Source organism: Homo sapiens, chromosome 22 (assembly GCF_000001405.40).
Source record: "Homo sapiens chromosome 22, GRCh38.p14 Primary Assembly".
NCBI classification, from domain to species: Eukaryota; Metazoa; Chordata; class Mammalia; order Primates; family Hominidae; genus Homo; species Homo sapiens.
The window spans coordinates 27,764,998-27,783,492 of record NC_000022.11 but is presented as its reverse complement, the minus strand read 5'-3'; the positions used below and the strand labels follow the sequence as shown (position 1 = coordinate 27,783,492).

General features: G+C 51.3%; 1 protein-coding gene across 1 annotated transcript in view, besides 3 other annotated features; it reads left to right on the top strand.

The window, feature by feature from the left end:
• The window catches only part of MN1 (MN1 proto-oncogene, transcriptional regulator), a 53,480-nt gene that overhangs the window by 18,264 nt on the left and 16,721 nt on the right, over positions 1 to 18,495 (top strand). The window lies entirely within an intron of this gene.
• Positions 2,938 to 3,564: an enhancer, noted in NCBI's record as "H3K27ac-H3K4me1 hESC enhancer chr22:28175917-28176543 (GRCh37/hg19 assembly coordinates)". NCBI's record gives its function as "activates a minimal SCP1, AML or CMV promoter by ChIP-STARR-seq in naive H9 embryonic stem cells {active_cell/tissue: H9 hESC(naive)}" and the evidence as "EXISTENCE:reporter gene assay evidence [ECO:0000049][PMID:30033119]".
• Positions 17,091 to 17,590: an enhancer, noted in NCBI's record as "H3K4me1 hESC enhancer chr22:28161891-28162390 (GRCh37/hg19 assembly coordinates)". NCBI's record gives its function as "activates a minimal SCP1, AML or CMV promoter by ChIP-STARR-seq in naive H9 embryonic stem cells {active_cell/tissue: H9 hESC(naive)}" and the evidence as "EXISTENCE:reporter gene assay evidence [ECO:0000049][PMID:30033119]".
• Positions 17,591 to 18,092: an enhancer, noted in NCBI's record as "H3K4me1 hESC enhancer chr22:28161389-28161890 (GRCh37/hg19 assembly coordinates)". NCBI's record gives its function as "activates a minimal SCP1, AML or CMV promoter by ChIP-STARR-seq in primed H9 embryonic stem cells {active_cell/tissue: H9 hESC(primed)}" and the evidence as "EXISTENCE:reporter gene assay evidence [ECO:0000049][PMID:30033119]".

Sequence of the window (18,495 nt, the reverse complement as noted above, 5' to 3'; positions counted from 1 at the left end):
CAGACCAGAACTGGGTCTTAAACTAGAGGTTTCCAAGCCTTTTTAAAAAGCACCATGACAGGGCCGGGCACGGTGTCTCAGGCCTGTAATCCCAGCACTTTGGGAAGCTGAGGCAAGTGGATCACCTGAGGTCAGGAGTTCGAGACCAGCATGGCCAACATGGTAAAATCCCATCTCTACTAAAAATACAAAAATGAGTGGGGTGTGGTGGGTGTCTGTAATCCCAGCTACTCAGGAGGCTGAGGCAGGAGAATTGCTTGAACTCTGGAGGTGGAGGTTGCAGTGAGCCAAGATCACACCACTGCACTCCAGCCTGGGCAACAGAGCAAGACTCTGTCTCAAGAAAAAAAAAAAAAAAAGCAGCACGACGTACATCCCCTGGTTGGTGGTTGGTGATGGCAACCCTTGTTCCCTTCCTCTTGTGGAGGTGGACATCGTGCAGGAGAGAATTCTTGACCTTGGGGAAGCCGCAGTAGCACCATAGCCTGTCAGATGGTTGCTGTGGGTTTCAGCCCTGGCGTTTTGATTCTTCCGAGCTGGGTGATCTCAGACAAGCCACTTCACTGCTCCCAGCTTTCTTTCCTCATAGATAAAATTGACAAGAGGAAAAAAAAAGTGTGTACCTCACAGAAATATTGTGAGGACCAAATAGTATGTTTTAGCTAGCATTATAATTATGTGACTAAGGGCACAGGCTTTGAAGCCAGACTACCTGGGTTCAAACCCCAGCAATTCCAGTTCCTGGCTGTGTGTCCTTGGGCAGGTTACTTAATCTTTCTGTTCCTTCATTTCCTCATCGGTGAAAGAGAATAATAATAGTTCCCGCCTCATGGGGCTAGAAGGATTCAGCAAGTTAATATATATATGAGTTGATACTCAGAAGCCTGCTTAACACAGAGAAAGTACTATATGCCAGCACCAGATTTTACTGAGCACTGACTATATACCAGGTGGTTCGTATATAGGGCATCAGTGAACCTAGGAAGTGCATGGTGGCATTGTCGCTATTGTTTGTCCCATCTTAGGGATGAAGAAATGAAAGGCACAGATTGGCTTGCAAGTGGTGCCGGCTGGAGGGGAAACGATGCCAGGCTGTACTTCAGGCACTTAGCCCCGGGCCTGGCACTGGGGACTTGCTCAGTAAATGTCACAATGTCATAGGGCGGGGCCGGGCTGGGACCCACTGCCCCTGCGTCAGCAATTTCAGGCCTCACTATTGGGCCGGTGTGGGGCCGGGGAAGGGAGGGGAGGATTATATGTGCAGACCTTCTCCTTGTTCGGGGCATTCAGACCCTGTGGTCTGGTCACAGCCTGCCACCATCGGGCACGTGTTCCTAGCAGTGGGATGGTAGCGCCAAGGTATTTTTTACCACCCGACAGCTCTCCCTGTGCCCCCCAAGGAATAGTTCCCTGATATGTGTGAGTAATGGTCAGCCTTCTTGTGGAGGGAATCCATGAGATGAGCTGGTCCGCGGCCCCTGATCATTTTGCCAGGAGCCCGAGTCAACCATAAACAGTCTGGGAGCCAGCAATAGAAAAATTAAACCCCTGCGTCTGGCAACTCAGGTGGGGCCTCAGGAACCTGGCAGGCTCGGGCTGAACAGAGATAGCAAGAGCAAGAGAGAGAGAGAGAGAGAGCTTGAGAGTGAATGAGCGTCCCTGCCCCAGGAGATAGTGGGAGGGTTTAGGAGGCAGACAAGCCTGGGATCGAATCCTGGCTCTGCCACTCGTGTGCTGTGTGACTCTGGGCAGGTGATTCACCTCTCTGAGCCTCAGTTTCCTCACCTGTTACATAGGTATAATTCTTGGGACCCTCTCAGAGGGTTGCTGTGGGGCCTGAGCATCTGGACAGGTTGGTGAGAGCATGGGCTTTGGTGTCAGCCAGAAGGTAGCTATTCTGTTCCCATGTGGGACTCTTGGACATGTCCAGTTCCTCTCTGGGCCTCAGTGTCCCTGGCTACAAACTGGGAAGAGTAACACCCTTCCCACAGGGTAGTGGGAATGCTCTTCACCCTGGGGCAATATTGCCCCCCCCAGGGCATACTTGGCAATGTCTAGAGAGATCTTTGGTTGTCGTGGCTGCAGGGAGGAAGAATGCTATGGGTCCCTGATGGGTGGAGGCCAGGGATGCTGTTCAATGTCCTACAATGCACAGGACAGGCCTCACTACTCTCCTTTCCAGGCCCAAATGTGAATAGCGCTAAGATTGAGAAACTCTGAACTACAGTGAGTGATTGAGGTTAGGTTCAAAATAATACTCAGGGCTGGGCATGGTAGCTCATGCTTGTAATCCCAGCACTTTGGGAGGCCAAGGCTGCTGGATCACTTGAGCCCAGGAGTTCGAGACCAGCCTGGGCAACAAGTGAGACCCTGTCTCTACAAAAAACACAAAAAATTAGCTGGCCATGGTGGCGCACACCTGTAGTCCCAGCTACCTGGGAGGCTGAGGTGGGAGGATCATCTGAGCTTGGGAGGTTGAGGCTGCAGTCAGTTGTGATCACGCCACTGCACTCCTGCCTGGGCAACAAAGTGAGACCTTGTCTCAAAGAAAAAAAAAATACTCAAAACTTTCTAGGCAGTATAGTCTATATTCAAGAGGGCTGGCATATTTATTCATTCAACAAACACTCCCAAGCACTTAACCACATGGCGATGCTGTTCTAAGTGGTGGGATGCAGTGGGGAGAAAGACAAATGCCCTGCCTTCATGGAGTTTACATTCTAGGGGAGGGGCCAGAATGACAGACAACAAAGAAGAACGCAGAGAATTAGAAGAGGGGATGTGCGTGAGAGTTCCTAGTCTGGGCCACCAGGAAGGTCTCTGAGAGGCAGTGACAGTGAAGTAGAATCCCTGAGTGATGACGAGGAGCCAGCCACTAGTGTTCTGGTGATTCTACTTTTAAACACCTGGCTCTCTGGGGTAGGGGGAGAGAAAAATAAATGCTCTGATATGCAGCATCTGCTGATTCCCGTGGTGTAAATACTCCTAATTTCAAGCCACCAAAGTGATGTCAGCTGTCAGCCGGATTGCAAAATTCCTGAATATTTAACAATGGGCTCCGGCACCCTGGAGCCAGCTGTATCAAGCTCTGCAGGAAGTGGGTTGGGCAAGGGGACAGTGAGGGCAGGTCCTAAGGCAGGACGGGGAGTGGGCCTATTTTAGGAAAAAGGCATTGCTGGTGAGAGGGGAGAGACAGTTCAGGCAGGCAGGGGCCCGACTGCTCGGGGCTTGTAGGCACGGTCAGATTAGCAGTTTGGAGTCCATTCTAAAGTGTGGCCGGGAGCCAGGGGAGGGTGTGGAGCACAGACAGGCTGGGATCTGACGGCACATAGTAGATGTGCATTGAACGGTGCTTCATCTGAGCCCAAGGTGTCTGAGAAAATGTCTGTTTCCCTTCCCTATGTTCTGGCCCTTTCTGAGATGGCAGAAACTTTCCTTCTGGTTTGGAGCCCCTGGGCCATAGGTTAGGGCAAGTTAGGCTGTCCCCTAGGACAGGGTGCTGGGGTCCTAAGGTAAGGGTTCAGCCTACCACAGGTGGGAGGGCATGGGGCATGTCAGTGGCTCCCTGAGCTGGGCAGGCCACAATTTATGTCCTGGTCCAGGGAGACTCTGTTTCCTCCTTCCCCCAGGCATTGTTCTCCAGGCCTTGCAGAGGTCACCCCGACAGGAAGGCACAGGCCCAGCTGGGGCCAGCCCGAGGAGGTGTGGAGGCCTGGGCCCCTGGGTGACCCAGGCCTGGCGTTCACTTTCTGGCAGCTTTTCTTTTGCATTCCTGCCCAACTCCCTGAGTGGCAAAGGAATCCTAACAAGCTACAGTTATTAAACACCCATCATGCCAAGCCCCATTTTACAGATGAGAAAACTGAGTCCCAGAGAGGCCAAGTGACCTGCCCAGGGGTGCAGTGTGGATTCATATCCAGGCCTTTCTGAGCCCGTGCTTAGAACCACTTATGGGCACGGAGATGAGGAGCTGTATTTCCTACCAACAGATGCTGGAGATAAAAACCAACTCTGTGTCTTGCCTCCTCATGGCCGTCACCAGGTCATGCCGTTGGCTGTTTAGGTCTTCCCATTTGTTCCCCACAGGTGACGGGACAGTGGTTCGAACCCCTAGCCTGGGGGCCGGGATGTGATTGGGGCAAGGCCGTGCTGCCTCACTGATCCTCAGTCAGCTATTCTATCCAGTGGCTCAATTCTGGCATCTCCTAGGACCCCAGTGAGGAGGAAGCGCCTGCCGGTATAGCTGGTACCTGCTGAGTGCCAGGGAGCACAGGTGCTTTGTTGCAGGAGTGCATCCTATCCTGGTCCCAGGCCTAGGGGGTGAGGACCCCATCCAGAGACAGCATTCATCATGGTCACCCTGGCACCCTGCTGCCTTTGGCCCCTGAGGTGTAGGAGGGGTGATGAGGATTTCCTGCAGAGGGACCGGGATGGACCCAGATGGGGCTGGTTCGGGGTCAGGGATCTTCACCCCCATCTCTGCAGGGGTGGGTAGGGAAGGAAGGGATGCCCCTGTATGGGAATTCCTTGTCCCAGCCCCGCCCACCTCATTTCTTCCTCCCTTATCCTTGAGAACACTGGTCTTAGCCAGCTTCTGCTTTCGTAGGTTGCATTTGCCTGGGCCGCTGTGGTCTGGGCTTCAGCCACTGTCCTACCCGAGTGAGGCTTGTTACAGACATCAGGGCCCACCTGACTGTGGTGGGCTACACGAGGATGCTCACATTTCCTCCATTAGTCACCTGATGGCTAGGCATTGGAGTCAGATTTTACGTCCCAGACCTCGGGGAGGAGGACAGTGCAGGAAGCCAGGCCTGTGGCCTTCCACTGGACTGATCTCCTTACTGCCCCGGGCCTCAGTTTCCTCATCTGTCTTTTGGGTTAAACGGGGTCGTGGCGAGGATTAAGACAGATAATGAAAAGCACTCCGCCCAGCGTCTGGCACATTGCAGACGTCACTAAGCCTTGGCATAAATACAGATGCTTCTCCTCCTGCACAGGAAGCATCGGGAACCTGTGAGGGGAGGGGGATGACACGTTGCATGAAGTGGAGAGGAGTGGGCGTCCCCCTGTGGGATGGCTCATTCTCCAGTGGGCAGTGAGAGATTTGCCTGCGGAATTTAGGAGGGTGGTCTTGGGTGCCGTTCAGGAAAGAGAAAGTGGCCGCGGCAGCTGGCAGAAATTCCCTCAACGGCTAGATGTGTTACAACGCCAACCAGTGAGAAAATGAATCTGAGACAAAAATTGTGCATTTTCTGGAACTCCTTAGAGTTTTAAATACCCTGGCCCCATATACCCACTTCTTAGATTCCCTGTTTGTGTAGGGCTGGAAAAATCAGTCCCTCGTTAGTGTTGGGAAACTCCTCAAAATCACGGCAACAATGCTAATAATATTTAAGAGCGCATTAATCACACCTTCTACTCTGCATATATATGGTGACGGGTTCTCCACGGGCAGTTACCAGACAAACCATGTGTAGCCCTTAAAAGCTGTGCCTGGTGGGTAGGAATCCCTGGTAGCTGTTCCCACTGCTTTGTCATCAGCCTGGGTCACTGACTCAGGATAAAAATGATGTACCCTGTAGAATTTTTCTTTTCTTTCTTTCTTTTTTTTTTTTGGAGATGCAGTCTCACTTGTGTGGCCCAGGCTGGAGTGCAGTGGCGTGATCTCGGCTCATTGCATCCTCCGCCTTCTGGGTTCAAGCGGTTCTCTTGCCTCAGCCTCCCTGGTAGCTAGCATTACAGGCATGCGCCACCACGCCCAGCTAATATTTTGTGTGTGTGTGTGTGTGTATTTTTAGTAGAGACACGGTTTCACCATGTTGGCCAGGCTGGTCTTGAACTCCTGACCTCAAGTGATCTGCCCACCTTGGCCTTCCAAAGTGCTGGGATTACAGGCATGAGCCACAGTGCTGGGCTGGACTTTTATTTTTTTTTTCTCTCTCTCTTTTTTTTTTTTTTTAGAAACAAGGTCTAGCTCTGTCACTTAGGCTGGAGTGCAGGGGCACCATCATAGCTCACTGCAGCCTCCAACTCCTGGGCTCACGCGATCCTCCCACCTCAGCCTCCAGGGTATCTAGGACTACAGGTGTGTGCCACCACACCTGGCTAATGTTTTATGTTTTCATAGAGATGGGGTCTTGCTGTGTTGCCCAGGCTGCTCTTGAACTCCTGGTCTCAAACGATCCTCCCTCCTCAGCCTCCCAAAGTGCTAGGATTACAGGCGTGAGATGCTGCACCCAGCCAGAACTTTTCTTCTTGCTTGCGTCTCTCTCCAAATCCACGCTATGGTGAGCAAACCCATTTGACCGGAGGTTTCATCTCGATTTTGCTTTCGGAAGAAATCTCTTGTGATTGTCTGCCTCAAGTGTTCATTTAGGGTTTAATCAAATAAAGGTGGGGCGGTAAAGGGATTGTAGGGAGCAAAATCCTATTTGTAGAGAGTGGGGAATACCCATGCCCTCCCTTGCGTTTTAAAGACCAAGGCAAAAACTTTTTGCATGCCAGTTCCTGGGGGACAGAAAAATCTCTCAGGCTTTGGTTCCCCAGGTGTTTGCTCTGTCTCCCTCTCCCCCACCGGCTCCCCCTCCTCTCCTTTTTCTTCTCTCCCTTTCATTTCTGGAACAATCGTCCTGGCCAGTTCCTTTGGGCTCTTCCACATTCTTTGCCAAAAACAAAAACCATTCTTAACCCCAGATGACCAGGCCTGCAGTCGTTTTGTCTGGTATGTGGCGTCCGCCCGAGTTGGGGCGGGTGAGGGGGGGCATGTATGCTTCCAATTTATATTCCAGCATGCCAGCTTCAAGGCGAGATGGGGCTAGGGGAGGAAAAAAAAAACCTCAAAAAGTGGGGAGGCCAGAACCACTGAATTTCAAGAGAGGAGAAAGAGGGAGAGGGTGGGGGAAAAACAGCCAAGCCGAGGTGACCGGCAGATTCTAGGTCAGGCCAGGCCCGCCCTTTCAGAGCCACCCCCCAGCCTCCGCCCTTCTTAGCCCTGTGGTAGACTTTGGATTGTGCTCTGTATTCTATTTGATTATTATTATTTTTTAATGAGGTCAGACTGAAAATCCATCTGCCTGGGCCTGCCTGCCTAGGTTTGAAGGCAATTAAACTGGAGACTAACCTCTTAATTAGGGTTTCCCTGTGTAAATCTCATTTGATAAATTCCTTATCAGCCTTGGCTTTAACTACAGCGCGTCCTCGAGACGGGATTGAGCTCCCCCTGGGACCTCTAAGTGAATCCCCCAAGAGAGCCTGCCCCACTGCAAACTCTTCTAGCCAGAGCCTCCCCCAGGAAGAGCCGGGAGAGAGGCCCCTTTCAGGGTTAATTAATCAGAAAATTTAGTGGTGCCCGGTGATTCCGGAGGACTTGTCTGCCACCTTTGAATTCTCCCATCTCCCCTTCTGCCTCCCTTCTAGGTCTTAAAAAATTTTTTTTGGGTGAACTGAACTCCGCTAAAGGAAATTTGCAGCCCCCACTGCTTCCTTGTGGCTCCCCCTCCCTTCTGCCCAACTTGTTTGTCTGTGTGGATGGTTAGATTTTTTTTCCTTCCCTTTTTTAAATGCAAGTGCGGCTGGGAGTAGAAATGTCAGGGGTCAGGCTTCAGGCGGCAGGGAGCAGAGGGGCAGCCTCAGCTGCTGTCGGTGCCATTCCATTCGGGGAGAGAGCGGAGCTGAGCTTAACCCTTTGGGGCCCAGGCCCTGCCTCTGGGTTCAAGGATACTGGGCACTTCTTTCCCCTCTCTTCATTAGAGTCGGAGGGGACTCTGGCACCTGGACTCCTTTTTCAGGATTTTAAGCTACAAATCACATCTGGGGTGGGACAGGGCAGTCATAGCAGCATCACCTAGGAGAGTGTGAAGCGGGAGTTTTGGTTCCATCAGCACGTCCTGAGCACCTGTGGGTGTGTTCCGGACCAGGAGCAAGATGCCACTCATATGCATGTGGTCACACAGGGCAGGCTGGGCCACGGCGGTATGCACTGCTATAACCTCGTCAGCATCCCAGGAGATAGCCCCATTTACAGATGGGGAAAACGAGGCCTCGAAGGGGTGGTGATGTGCTGAGTTCCCCAGCTGCTAATAGGTTGGAGTGGACGCGAGGCCCATCTTTCCCAGTTCTGAACCCTCGATTCCTGCGTACCAAGAACCCCTGGCCACTCCCACCCTCTGGAGTCTGGTCAGAGAAGAAGCCTGACTCACATACAGTGTTTGGATTCCTTCCATCATTCTGTAGCCATCGAAAGGGCGGGGGGCCAGGTTGGAGGGTGGAGCATGTGCCATGTCACCCACAGCACCCTCCAGCCGCTGTGAAGCAGCTACCGCTGTGGACCCATTTTATAGATGAGGAGGGCGAGGTACAGAGAAAGAAGGGACCTGCCTGAGAGCACAGCCGACATATGGCAAAGCCTGATGTATCCCCCATTCTTTCTGCCCACTGGGTCTGACTGCTCCTCAGCATGAGACATCACCAGCCCCTGGAAGCAGGAACAAGAGCACAGAACTGGGGCCTCCCACCTACCGGCTCCCCATCACCTGTGGAGTTGCCCAGGGGCTATGCAAGCTGGATGGTCTGTGATATGGGGGGCTCAGGAGGGGGTATAGCTGGCCTGGGTATTGTCAGGGTGACAGGGGGTCTAGTCTGCCAGTGGCTTAGGTTGGTACCTGGCAGAGCTGCCCCTGGCACACAGGGCCCTTATGGAATTGTCACGACTGTTGCTATGTCTAAGCCTCAGTTTCCTCATCTGTGAAATGAGGATGATGGCAGTGTCAACCCCCTGGGGTTCTGCGGGCACGAAACCCGTTCATGCGCAGAAAGACTCACCAGCAATGACCTGCACCTGGGAAACTTCAGTGCACATTAATTGGTATTATTATCATTTATTCCTAATATTGGAGGAAAAAAATGTAGGTACCAAGGAAGTCTCTGAGGGAAGAAACCCCATGTGATAATCAACACCTCCGTGGATAGCCAGGAGGGTGGGGGTTCCCAGTGGGAGCTGAAAGCAGGAGGCCCTGCCCTAGTCTGACCCGTGGGGTGGACCTCCGACCTGGGGCTGTGTGGCCCTGGGCAAGTTGCTTCACCTCTCTGTGCTCCCTCTGGTGGGGAGGAAATGCCAGCTTCTTCAGTTGGTGGGATGAGCGTGGACCTCAAGTCTTCAGGGCGAGGGGAGGGAGATTTGCTTCATGGCTCTGCCTTTAACTGGGCAGTGGCCTTAGAATCTATCTTGCTGGCCAGGCCTCTGTTGCCCTGTCTGGAATATCCCCGTTCACGACGGTGAAGTATAGAGGAAGCGATCTGCCCAGACGTGTTTTGCATTCTCCCAGAGAGCTCTTTAGACCTCAGGGATTATTATTAGAATAATGGAAAGTGGGATCATTTCTCTGCAGAGTTGGGGGGAATCTGGGCACACGGGAGGTGAAGCATTTGGCAGCTGCAGGTTTGTCCAGGGGGCCGTTTGCTCTGTGTCTGCCCCTGAGCCCCTACCACTGAGAGGGCACCGTGGGGGTGGCGAGAGATACTCATGTACATCAAAGGATCAAGGCCGGGCGCGGTGGCTCACGCCTGTAATCCCAACACTTTGGGAGGCAAGGCAGGTGGATCACCTGAGTTCAGGAGTTTGAGACCAGCCTGTCCAACATGGCGAAACTCAGTCTCTACTAAAAATACAAAAATTAGCTGGGCATGGTGGCGTGTGTCTGTGCCTCAGTATTCGGGAGGCTGAGGCAGGAGAACTGCTTGAACCCGGGAGGCAGAGGTTGCAGTGAGCTGAGATTGTGCCACTGCACTCCAGCCTAGGCAACAGAGCGAGACTCTATCATTCATGAATAAATAAATAAATGGACCAAGATGATGTTTGGGGCCTAGGGTTTGGGTCCTAGCATCCTCTCTTGTTGTATGGCCTTGAGTGAGTCACAATGCTACGTTATGTCTCAGTTTCCTCGGCTATGAAATGGGCATAGGGAGGCGGTGAGGACTAAGTGCGGCGAGCACGTGAGGCCCCAGCCTGGGCTCTGCACGGTGCACTCCCATGACTCGGGCCCAGCTGAGCCTTGAAAGGTTTGGAGTCGCCTGAAGCAGAGCTTGAATTCTCCCCTCGCTGGCCTGCGGCCTCCCTCTCTCCCTCGCTCTGAAACCAAAGCCCAGCATCTGCTTCCCCAGGAGCTGTTTAATATTCTGCCGTGGTAAAATGAACTCATTGGAGCCACCCGAAAACAGCTGAATGAACCCCCTGGCGCCCGGTGGCCTTTCAGAGTGGCTCCAGACCCCCCTTGGGCCTCGGGGAGGCTGGCAACGGTAGCAGCTGTGGAAGAGGGGCCCCCTTTTCTTCTTGGTGTCTCGGGGGAGCCTCTGACCTGCAAATGGGGCTCCTCGGGGGCTGGGTAGGGGATGGGAGTCTGGGGAGGGGCGGCCTGGGCTTCCCGGCCTGTTCGGGGCCTTGTTTGTGCTTCTTGGCTCAGAGGTTCTGTGTATGGGGCCTCCTTGGGGAGGCCGAGAAAGCTAGGCCTTCCCCAAATTCTTCTCCTGATTCTCCCCCACCCCAGCCTCAAACTGGGCCTAGTGCAGGCACTAGGCTGCTAGCCCCCAGCTGCCAGCCACACTGCTTGATTATGATGATGATGATGATGATGATGATGATGATGGCAATGGTGATAGTGACAGCAGCATCCATGGAGCAATTGCTAAGTACCAAACCCTGATGAGTGTGTTGTCTTGCTAGCTTATTGGCGGCTGGAAACCACTGGGAACAGTTTACTATTCTTATTCCCATTTGACAGGTGAGGAAACTGAGGCCCAAAGGGGCGCAGCTGCGTGAGAGATCATGGAGCTAGGAAGTAGCCTAGCAGGGCTTCACCCAGGCTCTCACCAGCACACCACTCTCCTGGTGCCCCACAGACGTCTGCACCTGCAGGGTTGTCTTGGGGTTGGTTAAGTGATGTCAAGCTGTGGAGCACTGCTCAGAGGCATACAGTCGGCACTACTTAAATGCTAGACTCTATCATGACTTGACGACTGTACTTCGTCACACTTGTTGCCTGTTAAGTCCAAGTTTCATGACCGTCTCCCTCCTCCCCACACTCTAACTGCTCTATTTCCACCCCAACTCCCTCGAAAGGCAAATGGTAACGAAGTGCTTCCAGGTAGAAGCCGGATTGATTTCATGTAATTATCCCTGACAAAATTAAATATTACTTGCAATTAGTCTTGGGCAATTTCTCTGCTGAGACACAGCGAGGCAGTGGGGTGAAAAAGGGCTGAGTTGGCCCAGCCCCTGCTGGGCTGAGGGCTGAGTCTGTTGGCAGCTGTGTGTGCTCTGCCCGAGAATGCCCTGTCGCCAGGACTTAAACCCACAGCAGCGATTTCTCCCCAAGACAGGGAGGACTAGGGAGGGCCGGGCAGGAGGACACACATAACAGCCCCTTTCGTCCCTCCTTATTTTATAACCGAGAAGCCTCAGCAAATAGTACTGGGATTGATTTTTCCAGCAGGTGAGTGGCCTGACATGTGTCGGGTCCAACAACCTCTCTGGAAGATTCCAATAATTGATATACGGCGGTGGAACCCAAGGTATAGGATTTCCTCCCCAGGAGTTCAAGCCCCAGCAACACTTCCCACCAGCTGTGGGACCTTGGGCAAATTACCTCCTTTCTCCGAGCCTCAGTTTTTCCAGTCTTTAAAATGGGGGTAACTTTGACTATTGAATGAGTTAACGCAGGAGTTGGCAAACTTTTTCTGTTAAGGGTCAGAGAGTAAATATTTTGGATTCTGCATGCCATAAAGTCTCTACTTAATTACCTATCCCTTTCCCTGTCATGCAAAAGCAGTCACAAACAGTGTGCCAATGGATGGGTGTGGCTGTGTTCTGATAAAACTTTATTTATGGACACTGAAATTTGGATTTCATATAATTTTCATTTGTTATGAAGTATCTTCTTTTGACTTTTTTTCAACCATTAAAAAATGAAAAAAGGCCAGGGTGGCGGCTCACGCTTATAATCCTAGCACTTCGGGAGGCTGAGGTAGGAGGATTGCCTGAGGACAGGAGTTTGAGACCAACCTGGGCAACATAGTGAGACCCCCCTACCAACCTCTATAAAAAATTAGCCAAGCATGGTAGCATGTGCCTGTAGTCCCAGCTACTTGGAAGACTGAGGTGGGAGGATTGCTTGAGCCCAGGAGACAGAGGTTGCATGAGCTATGATCATGCCACTGCCTTCCAGCCTGGATGACAGAGTGAGACCCTATCTCTAAAAAAAAAAAAAAAAAAAAAAAAAAGTTAGGGAAAAAACCCCACCAAAACATTCTTAGCTCATGGGGTTATAGAGTTTTTTTTAACCCTCCAAGATCCAAAAGTCAGATGGTGGGCCAGATTTGGCCACTGGGCTGTAGTTTGCCACCCCCAAGTTGACAGATGAAGTGTGCTTAATGCAGTGCTCAGCACAGGCAAACTGCTCAATAAATGGACCCAATGACTATTATTATTTTCTGGACTCGAAATACCTTTTATGGGCATATTTAAGAGTAAGTTAAAAATGGGCTGGATGTGGTGGCTCCCGCCTGTAATCCCAGCACTTTGGGAGGCTGAGGTGGGAAGAATTGCTTGAGGCCAGAAGTTCAAGACCAGCCTAGGCAACATAGCCAGACCCCATCTCTACTTAAAAAAAAAAAAAGTAGCCAGGCATGGTGGCTCATGCCTATAGTCTCAGCTACTGGGAAGGTTGAGGTGGGGGATTGCTTGGGTCTGGGAGGTTGAGACTAGAGTAAGCTGTGATTGCGCCACTGCTCTCCAGCCAGGGTGACAAGGTGAGAACCTGTCTCTAAAAATAAAATAAAATAAAATAAAATAACCAGGTTTGTACTGTGAAGTTCAGGTGATAATCATTCCTTTTTCAGTTTATGCTTGTATCTGTAAACTCTTCGTGTGTTCTTTGATCAAGTCAGGACTATTACTTCCATTGCAGGGAGACTGAGGCCCAGAGAGGGAAAGTGCCTTGTCCAAAGTCACACAGCTGGGACAAGGCAGAGGTGGATCCTGAATCCACATGATTCTCTGCCCAAGAGGGCCTCAGAGTCCTCTCCAGAAATTTATGTGTTGGAAAATGCACTGGACTGGGAGCCACCTCAGTCCTCTCTTCCCTGAGCCTCAGTGTTTCAACCTGGAAATGGCTGCCTTTCAAACCGCCAACTGTCTATGGACTGTGACTCTGGGGTGACAAGAATCTCTCTCCATCATCCTTTCAGTGGTTCTAAAATCCAGGTTACACCTGATCAGCATTTGCCCTGCCTGGTGGCTGAGGCTTGTGGGAGCTATCTGCTGTGCTGGCCGGAAAGGATTTGGGAGGGAAGGTTGTAAGATGAAGCTTGGACTGTGTTCTCTAGGTTAGGATGAGGACTGTGAAACTGTGCGTGGTCAGTGCTGAACACCCTGGATACTCATTGTCAATATTGGATTATGATTGCCAATTAGTGACTATGTGGCCTTGGGCGAGTCTTACTGAGCCATCGACTCTCCTTTTCCTCATGATCTGGGGGATAGTAATGCATACATTATAGATTGGCATGAGAATAAAGGAAGGTACCAGTGAAAACTGAGACTTGGGGCTGGCCACATAGCAGATGATTAAAAAAAAATTGGCATCCTTGCCGGGCACAGTTGCTCATGCCTGTAATCCCAGCACTTTGGGAGGCTGAGGCTGGTGGATCACGAGGTCAGGAGATCGAGACCATCCTGGGTAACGCGGTGAAACCCCGTCTCTACTAAAAATACCAAAAAAAAATTAACAGGGCGTGGTGGGTGCCTATAGTCCCAGCTACTCGGGAGGCTGAGGCAAGGAGAATGGTGTGAACCCAGGAGGCGGAGCTTGCAGCGAGCCGAGATTGCGCCACTGCACTCCAGCCTGGGTGACAGAGCGAGACTCTGTCTCAAAAAAAAAAAAAAAAAATTGGCATCCTTGATATTATTGCTTCGTTATTATCATCATTCTACTTCATCCTCAGTCACTGCATTTCCAAGCCTCATTTCTGAGGATTGCGAATTTCCACCATCCAGAGTTTTAATGGGGGAAACATGCTGGGAGAGAACAGGAGGCTGGGGGTGTGAATTTTAATCCTGTCCTGGCCTTGACTCATCATCTGACTTCAGGCAATTTACTTTATTTCACTGGGCCTCAGTTTCCCACTCTTTGTGATTGCAATAGGTCAGATTACAGATTCAATATCAAGTGCTAATCTGGATTAGTTTCGGCTACCTGCAGCATTGTGTCAAGAAAGACTCTGAAGGTTCCCTAGGAGGGAGTGCTGCAGTTGATTAGCAATGTCTGCCATGGACTTAAGGTGAAATATGTTTTGGTGGGAGCCCCGCGTGGTTGATAATCCTAGAAAAGATGACCAGCTCCTTTCAGCCCCAAATTTACATCAGTCTATGGAACCTGCCTACTTGAAACTGATAGGGCTTGCCTTTTGTAAGAAAACTAGTTGTCATGGCAGCCACTGATGCAGACTGGGAGAGACTTTGTAGATTATTTTTCTAGATCAGTATTGTCCCATAGAACTTTCTGGAATGATGGAAATGTCCTCCATAGGCCCTGTCCTGTACAGTATCCACTGGCCACACACAGCTGTCAAACACTTGAAATATTGCTAGTCATGAATGAGGAATTTATTTTTAATTAATTAATTAATTATTTTTAGAGACAGAGTCACACTGTGTGGCCCAGGCTGGAGTGCAGTGGCATGATCATAGCCTACTGCAGCCTCAAACTCCTGGGCTCAAGTGATCCTCCTGCCTTGGCCTCCCAAAGTGCTGGGATTATAGGCGTGCAACACCATGCCTGGCCAATTTTCAAATTTTATTTAAAAAATGTGAAAGCTGCACATGGCTAGTGGCTACCATGTTGGACAACCCAACTCTAGACTCATGGAGCTCCTGAGCTTGTAGGAGCTCCCAAGGCATCTACTTGTTACACCCCAGTGTGCATAAAGTCTGGGTGGGTCCTTGGGTAAAAGCCTGTTGCTTGGCAACCGACACCAAGCAGTACTCTCTGTAGCTCTACCCACAGGCAGCTGGAAACCACCTCTGCAGGAGTTTTGCTCAGGTGGGTGAGCTCTGCATAGGAGGGTAAATGCTTTTGTCTTTTGCATTGCATGCCTCCCTGGGGGCCTGGTTCTCCAGGGCTCAGACCCTGTAAGTGGGTGAGACCTGGCTTGAATCAGACTCTCTCCCTAACCCCTGGATGAGTATGCCCATCTCTCACCCTCTGTGACAATCCAGGAAACATGAAGGTGTTTCCAGATGCAGAGTCGGTGGGCCAAAGGGGAAGGCAGGATGATGGGTGTTTGGGAGAGTGGGAGACATGTTTTATTTTTCCTTCCCTCCTTCTCTCCCTTCTTCCCTCCTCCTCTCCTTGTCTGTCTCTCTTTCTGGTGTGGGGAAAAAGTAGAAGATGCTTTGGAAACTGATATGGCTTCATCCTGAGTTGGCTGCTCCCTTGCTGTGTGGTGTTGGGCAAGTCACCCCACGTCTCTGAACCTGTTTCTGCATCCTTTAAAAAGGAATAACAGTCCCTGCCTTTGAAGGGAGGACCCGATGAAGTAATATACATGAAATGCTTAGAATAGTGCCTGGCATGTGGTTCTCTTCCCTGGGAAAAAATTACCCTCCAATTTGCTGATACTGTCTCTCTCTTTCTCTCTTTTTTTTCTTTTTGTCAAAACCCCCCAAACCCTTAACCAACACCTCCACCCACCCAACCTTGCCTGCCCAGAGATGTTGTTGGAGCGGTGGAGGGTAATTTCACCGATTTCCATGCTTGGAATTGACTTAAATCTCATCTCAGAGATTATCCCTGTAGGTCCAGTCTCAGGGCTGGGTGGCATGTTGGTTGGGAAGGTGGCCTTTCTGGGTGATCACACTGGGCAGGAGGAAATTGCTGGCACTTGTCAGCTCATCCCAGGGGACTCCTGCATTTTTGTCTTTATTACAGGCACCTCCATTTCGGGGTTTTTGCACACACCAGTAGGGTCTAAAATAAACAAGAACTCTAACCTTCAAACTTTGAAGGAAGTCTGTTGGCTGGGCTGGGGTTGTGGGAAGTGAGTGGATATAATTCCTTAATCTCTACATGGTTTGTGAGAGGGCGTCGCCCCTCTCAGTAAATTTGGCAAGCCTTCCAATTAAGTCTTGTATTATTGGCACCCAGGAAGCCTTGAAAAGCTCCTTTTCAGGTCTGTCCGGGGGCTCAGGTGATGTGGTGTGAGTCTTTCTCATTTTAGGGACTCTTTAGGGTTTGTTCCTGTTCCCAGGAATTGATGTAGTCAGCACACTGAGGGCCTACTATATGTCAGGTGCTAGGGTCAGAGTGGGAAGTAAATAGGTGATACAAGGCCCCTAGTTTCATGGAACTCATACTCTTGGGGCCATGGCAGAGAGCAGGGCAAGAAGGAAAAGTTTAGCACAATTAGGGTTGGTGTGAGGTGTCACAGTATGAGGGGCACTGGAGCCCACTGAGGGACTTGAAGAGACCTCCTTGATGAAGGAAGATGGAGAAGAGTTAGTCAGGTGAAGAGAGAAAGGAAAGTGGTGGTCCAGGAAGAGGGGAAAAATGACAGGAATAGTGTTGCCTCCCCTTGGTGACAGCGTACTACAAACTCCATGGTGAAGCCTTCGGGACGAGGAGGGGGTCTGGTGCTGGCTTTGGCAGTAGGGCCAAAATCCTCTGATCTAGTCACACTTCTGCCCTTGACTTACCCCTCTGTGGCCTTGGTTTCCCTAATAAATAGCACTTGTCAGCCCAGTCTTCCTAGGTCTGGTTCTGCCATCCTTAGAAGACCACAGGGACAAGGGGCTGTGACTTCTGCCCTTGGAGGAAGAGGCACTGGGTCTTAATCCTGCTTCTCTATACCAGAGACATAGGCCAAATCTGGCAAATCCTTCTGAGAGGTGGGGTATAGGTGTTGCAAAATTTGTCTTGTCTGGAGAAAATTTGACAGAAGGTGAGGCCAGGGTTGACTCAGTCACTTACCCCACTCCCCTGCACCCGCCTCTTCCCACACCTCCTGCTGGAAGGAGTGTGGCAGCCCCCACCTTCCCCTTAAAGACCACACACCACCTTCCTAGGTCAATGCCAGAGATGACACTGGGCGTTGCAGGCCCAGTGAGAGCACGAAGAGCCAAGTCAGTCAGCATCGCTCAATCCTCTCTCCAACCCCCAAGGTGGAGACCAGCGAATATTTTCCAGCAGTCCACAGGATAATTTGAGGTGGGGAACACCCACTTGGGTGGCATCTTTAGGTCACGGAGTCCCGGTCCTGGCAGCTGACACTCTTGCCACTTTCAAAGGGGATGTCAGTTCAGAGAAGGCAAGTGCTGCACCTGAAATCACACAGCCAGCGTCCGGCAGAGCCCAGCTTCAGCTCCCAGAGTTGGGGAGGAGAGCCCAGTCCAGAGGGAAAGCAAGTTGGGGGTTGTTTGCGGCAGGTGCGCTTCTTCCTGGAAAGCCAAAGGCTGGATCTGCCGGGACCCTAGGGTGGTTGCCACTGAGGATGGGTGTGCCGGGCACAGGCACCCCGGGGGCTTAGTTCCCTGTCGTTTTAATGGAAATAATTAACCAGCTCCTTCTAAGCCCAGACCACCTCCTGCTGCTCCCCGTCTCTCTCCACCCCCTTCACCAGGCACACACCAGGGAGCGGGTAAGAAGACACAGCCTCTAGACTCATGTAGACCTGGGTTCAAATCCAGGCTCTGCCATTTTCGCTGCGTGGCCTTGGTTCTCATAGTGCTGTGGAGAGAACCTGGGCCAGACCCGGGTCAGTGCTCCCCCCACTACTGTCCACTCAGTTCCCGCTTGCCCGGCCGGTCACTGTCTGCTTTGCCCATCAGTCTGTCCTTTCAGAGTTGAAGCTGAGCTGCTGTTTGCTGGGCAGGCCATGCAGCCCACACGGGGGTCCTCAGAGGCCTTGCAGGGGTAAGTGCTGGGAGCCCCCGCTCGAGTCTCCCTCCTGCCTGACGTGGCTGACTCATTCGGCTTCAGAAAATCCACCTTTCTCCTTTTTTGTGGCTGTGTTCTGGAATGACTTTTTTTTTTCTAACAGCAACCCTCTGCTCCTAATAATGTTCTATTGATTTTTAAGTAGAAAGACAAAGAGGTTTCTGCTGTAGCCCAAGAGGGAAGATGAGGGCCATAGCAAATGACGAGGACATTTCTGACTCCCTAAAAGTGACAGCACGAATCTTCATAGATCAGGAGCATGGACTGAGCACCTACTGGGTGCCTGGCTTGCAACCTCCTCTTATGCGAACTTGGACAAGTGACATCACCTCTCTGAGCCTCAGGTTCAAGGGTCAGCACACTTTCTCTGCAAAGGGCCCAATCTATAGCAAATATTTTAGGTTTGTGGGTTATATACTGTGATGGTTAATTTTATGTGTTACCTTGACTGGGTCATGAGGTGCCCAGATATTTGTTTAACCATTTCTCTGGAGAACTCTGCCCAATGCTT